Source organism: Homo sapiens, chromosome 4 (genome assembly GCF_000001405.40).
Source record: "Homo sapiens chromosome 4, GRCh38.p14 Primary Assembly".
NCBI lineage: Eukaryota > Metazoa > Chordata > Mammalia > Primates > Hominidae > Homo > Homo sapiens.
The window spans coordinates 109,701,957-109,709,941 of record NC_000004.12 but is presented as its reverse complement, the minus strand read 5'-3'; the positions used below and the strand labels follow the sequence as shown (position 1 = coordinate 109,709,941).

The 7,985-nt window shown below is 43.9% G+C and overlaps 1 protein-coding gene across 5 annotated transcripts in view, besides 5 other annotated features; it reads left to right on the top strand.

Annotated features, from left to right (window-relative positions):
* CASP6 (caspase 6) overlaps positions 175 to 7,985 on the top strand; it is a 45,380-nt gene continuing 37,569 nt past the window's right edge. For 4 of the 5 annotated variants that reach the window (NR_133012.2, XM_047416245.1, NM_032992.3 and 1 more), the window contains exon 1: positions 6,497 to 6,586. Coding sequence is in view for 4 of the 5 variants with exons in the window: in XM_047416245.1 (XP_047272201.1) it covers positions 6,547 to 6,586 (40 nt within the window). In the remaining variant the exon portion in view is untranslated. Of the gene's footprint in view, positions 1,488 to 6,496; positions 6,587 to 7,985 lie in introns of those variants that run through there. The other variant, XM_047416244.1, reaches the window with a different exon arrangement.
* Positions 6,076 to 6,125: an enhancer, noted in NCBI's record as "active region_21806". NCBI's record gives its function as "activates an Ori minimal core promoter by ATAC-STARR-seq in GM12878 lymphoblastoid cells {active_cell/tissue: GM12878}" and the evidence as "EXISTENCE:reporter gene assay evidence [ECO:0000049][PMID:35858748]".
* Positions 6,286 to 6,575: a silencer, noted in NCBI's record as "silent region_15625". NCBI's record gives its function as "represses an Ori minimal core promoter by ATAC-STARR-seq in GM12878 lymphoblastoid cells {active_cell/tissue: GM12878}" and the evidence as "EXISTENCE:reporter gene assay evidence [ECO:0000049][PMID:35858748]".
* Positions 6,726 to 6,835: a silencer, noted in NCBI's record as "silent region_15624". NCBI's record gives its function as "represses an Ori minimal core promoter by ATAC-STARR-seq in GM12878 lymphoblastoid cells {active_cell/tissue: GM12878}" and the evidence as "EXISTENCE:reporter gene assay evidence [ECO:0000049][PMID:35858748]".
* Positions 7,016 to 7,075: an enhancer, noted in NCBI's record as "active region_21805". NCBI's record gives its function as "activates an Ori minimal core promoter by ATAC-STARR-seq in GM12878 lymphoblastoid cells {active_cell/tissue: GM12878}" and the evidence as "EXISTENCE:reporter gene assay evidence [ECO:0000049][PMID:35858748]".
* Positions 7,836 to 7,895: an enhancer, noted in NCBI's record as "active region_21804". NCBI's record gives its function as "activates an Ori minimal core promoter by ATAC-STARR-seq in GM12878 lymphoblastoid cells {active_cell/tissue: GM12878}" and the evidence as "EXISTENCE:reporter gene assay evidence [ECO:0000049][PMID:35858748]".

Genomic DNA, 7,985 nt, shown 5'->3' with positions numbered 1-7,985 from the left:
GCCTCAGGCTTACTTATTCAGTTTCCATAACATCCTTCAAAAATCTCCTTGTTGACAACTTGACAAACATTTCTCTGTTGGCTTTCAAGTTTTAAGTATAGCAATCAGAATCATCATAGAAATTAATATTTCTATGAATTCTGTAAGAAAAAATATTAAACACCAAAATCAGTGACCAAAATTTTTAAGTTGTAGAATTATCTCTGAACTTAACTTTATTCCCTATATTTCATTCCTATGATAGGTGACAAGCCAAGACCTTCAGTTTTAATAAGTTCCACTTTTATTTATATTTTAAAATAATATATTGCCTTTGAATAATGCCTATCTCCTTAAAATCTTTTGGCACATTTCTTCCAGGGACAGAGATGGCTGTTTATTTCATAAAGGAGACATTGAGCACAGAGAAGCTGTAATGAAGACACGATTGAGATATGAGGGCAAACCAGTTTCAATAAGTCACTTTTATGGAAAACTATTCAGATATAGGAAGAATCAAGTCATCCTGTCAGTTAACTTAGTGTATCTGAATTTTAATGGATTTGCTGTGGGAATATTTTTCTTTGAGAGGGAAGAGAGTGCTTGGTAGGATTCCAGTCTATGTTGGTGGTTCTCAAACATGAGCATGCGTGAGACTCACTGGCAGGCTTGTTAAAACACACTGCTGGACCCCACCCCCAGAGTTTCTGATTCAGTAGGTCTGGGGTAGACAGGAGAATTTGCATTTCTAACAAGTTCTCAGATGATGATACTGCTGGTTCATAGACCACAGCTTGGGAAGTAGTTTAGGTAATCTTCAGTGCTGAAAATAACTAATGTACTGAAAGCTTGCTGTGGGTTCAGTACTTTCATAGGAGTTTGCAATTTACTGTCTCAAAAACTCTGGAATAGATTTGGACCTCATTTTACAACAAAGAGTTTGAAGCTATGAGAGGTTAAGTTGCATTACCTGTCACATATCTAACAGCAAATAAAATGGGGAAGCCGTGAGTAGAACCTGGGCAGCCTGTTTCCCAGTCCCAGGCACTCAGCCATTTTATTGTGGCTAGCTGTTGCTTTAAGAGGCTAAAATTATACATTTGTAATTCTGAAATAAGTACCCAAGAAAATGTTCTGTATTTATGTTTTTAGACAAAATCCTGATCAGTGGTGAATAAGGGGAAAAAAAGGTAGACAAAATATTGTTTTAAAATACTTAACCACATAGACTATAGTAGTAATGTTGAGATAATAAGATACTTATGGAGAAAAAATGACAAATTCCTTCCATCTGCTCTTTTCAGATAAGTAGAACGTCAGCCAACTGGAGTTCCACTCTTGTCGAGGGAATGTTTTCAGGACTCAGAGACCCTGAAAGTGAGGCCAAAGGACTGGAAGTTCTGGTGGTCAGATAACTCATTCAGACTGGATAAAAGCCAGAGTGTAAATGTGAAAACCCTGAATTGTAGTCAATGGCTAAATATTGAGCCACATGCAAGGCAACTGGGGTAGGTAATGAGGAAACCAAAAAATGCCACTGCTGTTTCCAACGAGTACAACAAGATGGTAATAACCAATATTCATTGAGCTCTTCACATGGCAGGCAGTATTCTGAGTCCTTCACAGTCACTTAACCCAATCATCACAACCACCATACAAGGGAAATATGGAAATTCCATGTCTTTGTTGCAGGATAAGTTACTAAGACAGTGATTTCTGAAATATTTTATGCATACAATGAACAGTAAATGGTTTGAGTAAAAACCCTTCTTTGATTTCGTACTCTAATGACATCAAGACTTGAACCACAGGCACATGTAGAAGTTACCAAATTAGATTTTTTCTCTCCCAAATAATAGTATGAGATGAGTTCCTTATACTTATTTCTTAAGTATTCATTATACTTATTTTAATATATTAGAAGTGGTGCCTTAACACATTTTAATTTTTTTCCCACTCTAAGGTTGCTTACTTTTAAAATTACAAGGTCCAGAGGAATTACAAAAGATAAAGCCACCGTTTCATCAAATCTGAAAGCATTGTCAAAGTAAATTTTTTACAATAGCCAACCACCCAAGGAGGAGCTAAATTAAATCCAACATTGAGCACCCCATGGCACCTTGTTGGCACACTGTTTGGCTGCTATTTTTGGGGTAGGACAACATGCTCTCCCCAGGAAACACCATTATCTAGAGACCCTCATCATTCTGTGAATTTCTGCATGGTTCTGTCCCTGAATTAGCTCTACCTATGAAAGCCAGATTTGAAAAATCCAGGAGAAGCCAGGTGTCGTGGCTCATGCCCGTAATCCCAACATTCTGGGAGGCCAAGGTGGGCAGATACCAGGTCGGGAGTTTGATACCAGCCTGACCAACATGGAGAAACCCCATCTCTACTAAAAATACAAAATTAGCCAGGCATGGTAGTGCACGCCTGTAATCCTAGCTACTTGGGAGGCCAAGGCAGGAGAATCGCTTGAACCCGGGCGGCAGAGGTTGCGGTGAGCTGAGATCATGCCATTGCACTCCAGCCTGGGCAACAACAGCTAAACTGTCTCAAAAAAAAAAAAAAAAAATCCAGGAGTTACCTCCAGTTTACTTTGGCCCAAGTTTCATATACAAAGAACATTTAAAATAAGTTACTGCAAGTCCTACAAAGTAACTTGCACTGGGGAAAGGACTACACATGAAACAGGAACATATATGCCACCCCCTATGGGATACCTCAGAGGGATTTCGAGTTTGGTTCCAGACCACCAATAAAAGAGTCACACAAATTTTCTGGTTTCCCAGTGCATATGAAAGTTTTTCATACTAAAGTGTAGTCTGTTAAGTGTGCAATAACATGTCTAAAAAAATAATGTATATACCTTAATTTTAAAATATTGCTAAAAGATGCTAGGGATCATCTGAGCCTTCAGCGAGTTATAAATGTTGGTGTGGGGTATTGTTGAGGGCTGCTGACTGATTAGGGTGGTAGTTGCTGAAGGCTGGGATGACTGGCAATCTCTTAAAATAAGGCAATAAGGAAGTTTGCTTCATTTTTTTGTTTGTTTTGAGATGGAGTCTCGTTCTGTCACTCAGGCTGGAGTGCAGTGGCATGATCTTGGCTCACTGCAACCTCTGCCTCCTGGTTCAAGTGATTCTTGTGCCTCAGCCTCCTGAGTAGCTGGGATTACAGGTGCCTGCCACCGTGCCCGGCTAATTTTTGTTATTTTTAGTAGAGACAGGGTTTTGCCATGTTGGCCAGTCTGGGCTCGAACTCCTGGCCTCCCAAAGTCCTGGGATTACAGGCATGAGCCACTGCACCTGGCCATCCATTGATTGTTCCATTCACTAAAGATTTCCCTGTAGCATGTGATGCTGTTTGGTAGCATTTTATCCACAGACCTTCTTTCAAAATTGGGGTCAATCCCCCCAAACCCTGCCACTGCTTTGTCAACTAATACCCTGAATCCTTTGTTGTCATTTAAACACAATTCACAGCATATTCACCAGGAGTAGATTCTATCTCAATAAACCACTTTCTTTGCTCATCCGTAAAAAGCATCTCCTCATCTATCAAAGTTTTATCATGAGATGGCAACAATGCAGCCACATTTTCAGGCCCCACTTCCAATTCTATTTGTCTTGCTACTTCTGCCACATCTACAGTGACTTCCCTCACTGAAGTCTTGAACCCCTCAACATCAGTGATGAGGATTGGAATTAACTTCTTTCAAACTCCTGTTAATGTGGAGATATATGCATATACCTATGTATAATGTATGTGTGTGTGTATATGTGTGTGTGTATATATATATATATATATATATATATATATATATATATAAAATGGATAGGTATGTTGTCCTGCCTGTAAAATACCACCCAGTGTGCCAATTGAAATATATATAATTTTTAAATATTTATATATGTATTTTATATATATTATATATATATATATATATATATATATATATTTTTTTTTTTTTTTTTTTTTTTTTTTTAAAGAGTGTCTTACTCTGTCACCCAGACTGGAGTGCAGTGGCACAGTCAGCTGACTGCAGCCTCAAACTTGGGCTCAAATAATCCTGCCATCTTAGTGTCCTGAGTTGCTGGGAATACAGGCATGTGCCACCACTCTTGGCTAATTAAAAAAAAAAAAAAATTGTAGAGACAGGGTCTTGCATTGTTGCCTAGGCTGGTCTCAAAACTCCTGGCCTCAAGCAATCCACCTTGGCCTCCCAAAGTGCTGGGTTTACAGGCATGAGCCACTGTGGCTGATACATGTACTTTTAATTTTTCGTTTTTCTTTTTTTCCCCCTCTAGTCTCTAGTTACATACCGTAAGTGGATATTTTGACCTCCCATGAATCACAAATGTTCTTAATGGCATCTCGAATGATGAATCCTTTCCAGAAGATTTTCAATTTACTTTGCTCAGAACTATCAGAGGAATCATGATGACAGCTATAGCCTTATGAAATGTATTTTGTAAATAAGACTTGAAAGTCAAAATTTCTCCTTGATCCCTGGGCTTCAGAATGGATGTTGTGTTAGCAAGCACGATAACAGCATCAGTCTCTGTACATCTCTATCAGAACTCTTGGATGACCAGGTGTATTGTCAATGAGGAGTAATATTTTGAAAGGAACCTTTCTTCTGAGCACTAGAGCTCAACAGTGGGCTTTAAATATTCTCTAAGCCATGCTGTAAATAGATGTGCTGTCACTAACTAGCCTTTGTTGGTCCATTTATAGATCATATTTAGCATAATTCTTAAGGGCACTAGGATTTTCAGAATGGTAAAGGAATGTTGGCTTTAAAGTCATCAGTTGTATTAGCCCCTAACAAGAGCATCAGCCTGTTCTTTGAAGCTTTGAAGACAGGCATTGACTTCTCTCTAGCTATGAAAGTCTTAGATGGAATCTTCTTCCAATAGAAGGCCGTTTCATATACATTTAAGATCTGTTGTTTTGGCTGGGCACGGTGGCTCACACCTGTAATCCCAGCACTTTGGGAGACCGAGGCGGGCAGATTGCTCAAGGTCAGGAGTTCAAGACCAGCCTGGCCAAACATGGTGAAACTCTGTCTCTACTAAAAATACAAAATTAACCTGGACATGGTGGCACATCCTGTAATCCCAGTTACTTGGGAGGCTGAGGCAGAAGAATCGTTTGAACCCAGGAGGCAGAGGTTGCAAAAGATCGCACCACTGTACTCCAGCCTTGGTGACAAAGCAAGACTGTCTCAAAAACAAAAGATTGTTGTTTAGTGTAGCTGCCTTTATCAATGATTTTAGCTAGATCTGGATAACCTGATGCAGCTTCTACGTTAGCACCTGCTGCTTCACCTTGCACTTTTATGTCATGAAGATAGTTTCTTTCCTTAAACCTCAGGAACCATCCTCTCTGCTAGCTTCCAGCTTTTCTTTTGCAATTCCCTCACCTCTCTCAGCCTCCATAGAATTGAAGAGTTAGGGCCTTGCTCTGGATTAGGCTTTGGCTTAAGGGAATGTTGTGGCTGTTTTTATCTTCTATCCAGACCAACTAGAACTTTCTCCATATCAGCAATAAGGCTGTTTAGCTTTATTGTCTTTTGTGTGTTTACTGGAGTAGCATTTTTAATTTCCTTCAAAATTTTTTCCTTTGCATTCATGACTTGGCTTTTCTCCTTTGCACTCACAACTTGGCTAACTGGAGCAAGAAGCCTAGCTTTCTGCCTACCAACATTACTTCCTCACTAACTTAATCATGTTTGCTTTTGATTTAAAGTGACAGGCTCTTCCTTTCATTTGGACACTTAGAGGCCTTTGTAGGATTATTAGTTGGCCTAATTTCAAAATTGTGTTTCCAGGAATAGGGAGGCCCCAGGAGGGGGAGAGAGAAGGGAAAGTTCGGTGGAACAGTCCAAACACATACAGGGCTTATGGATTAATTTCCCCTTCCTTTATGAGCGCGGTTCATGGTGCCCCAAAACAATTGCAATAATATTAAAGATTACTGATCACAGATCACAACAGCAGACATAATAACAATGAAAAATTTTGAAATATTGCGAGAGTACCAAAATGTGACACAGAGACACAAAGCGAGCCAATGTTGAAATACAGGCAGTATCTGCTAAGCGGTATAAAACAATCTATGCCTGTACCTCTAGAAAGTACAGGCATAGCAAAGTAAGGAATAGCAAATGTTTGGGGCAGCTGGGATTAAATGAGTCCGAGCTCACACAAGTGATGTGAAATTGCCTCGGGCTAGGCGGTCTGTGTGTCCCCCCGGGTGGCAACTGGCATGTCCCCAGGGCACGGTTAGTCCCAGCGGGCCTGGAGGCGAAGACCGCGTACCTCTCCCTGCCCCCGCGCTCTTGGTCCCCGCGGGCTCCGGAGCGACTGGGAGGAGCTTTAACTCTGGGAAGGACCAGCCCGATCCACGGGAGCCCGGGCGGCGCGCAATCAGAACCAACTGGCCCCACGCTCGGGGGCAGGGGGCGGGGCCGCCGAGGAAGGGCCGAGGGCGGGGCCGGGCCCGGGAGCCTGTGGCTTCAGGAAGAGGAGGGCAAGGTGTCTGGCTGCGCGTTTGGCTGCAATGAGCTCGGCCTCGGGGCTCCGCAGGGGGCACCCGGCAGGTAGGCAGGGGGCGTCGACTGGGCACCGAGCAGGTCTGCGTCTTGCTCCGGCTGGAGGGGAAACGAGGGTTAGTGGACCGGGCGCGCGGACCGGAGTGGGGCCGCGGGTTCCTTCGGCTTTGCAGGGCGGCCTGGAGAAGTTGCACTCTTGGATTGAAGCGCTCAGGGCGGGTGGGGACGGTTTCGCGCTTCAGTCTAAGAAACACTCGGGGACCTGGCTGCCGCCTCCTGGCGGTCCCGAGTAGCGACGCCGGCGCCGGGGCGTGCCCCTGCCGCCTTTGTCCTCCGGGGCGATGAGCGCTTTCGGGGCGCCCCGGCTGTTTAAACCTTAAAAGGCTGTCCCCACGCGGGCCTGGCGTTCCCCCACACCTGGCCGTTTGAAATGTTGGGGGTTGGATCTTTTGTTTGCTCACTTCGAAAAGTGAAAAGGAGGGGTTGTTCCGCCGAGTCATAATGAAAACATAACAGGCCCGCGGGGTGCCCGGGCCAAGACCCTGGGTCCTCCCGGGCTTCAGCTGGAGGCGGCCAGTTCCTGGCGGCCAGCACACCCCGGTATCTCTCTTCTTCATCCAGGAAACCTGCTGCTGTCTGTCGGTTTGAGCCAAAACCACAATAACTTTTTTCTGCAAAGTAATCAACTGCTAAGAGCGTACGTTCTGTCACTTATTACTGGTAAAGTTTAGAAACTTCAAGCCTGGCCAGAGTGAAACAAACAAAAAGGTCGAAACGCCTGCAGTTGGCCGGCCGTGGTGGCTCACGCCTTGTAATCCCAACACTTTGGGAGGCCGAGGCGGGCGGATCACCAGAGGTCGGGAGTTCTCGACCAGCCTAACTAACACGGTGAAACCCCGTCTCTACTAAAAATACAAAAAAATTAGCCAGGCCTGGGCGCAAGCTACTGGGGAGGCTGAGACAAGAGAATCGTTTGAACCCTGGAGGTGGAGGTTGCAGTGAGCCGAGATCGCCCCACTGCACTCCAACCTCGGCGACAGAGTGAGACTTCGAATCAAGAAGAAAAAAAAAAAAAAAGAACGAAACGCCTGCAGTTGGTTAGAGTGCCTTTGTTTAAGAACTCTTTATATTTTGCTGCACAAAGGAAATGGTGCTCCAGAGGCAAGCTGTAAAAGTCACATGGTCGTAGAGGAGGTAGATAGGTAGCCTTGTCCTGGAGGCACAGTGCAGGGTCCAGTTGCAGTCTCTAGGGGCGGGAAGCCGGGGCTTTCCTTCACTCACCTGCTCCCTTCCTCTTCTTCCTCCACCGCACTCCCCAGTGCATGTTCTAGGCCTGATGGAGGTTACTCTACATAGGGTTACTAAATACATTGTTGATGGAGCCGATGGGTAGATTTTCATAGAGAGTGCAGTGAATGAAGACGATGACAGTAGAATGACCGAAGTC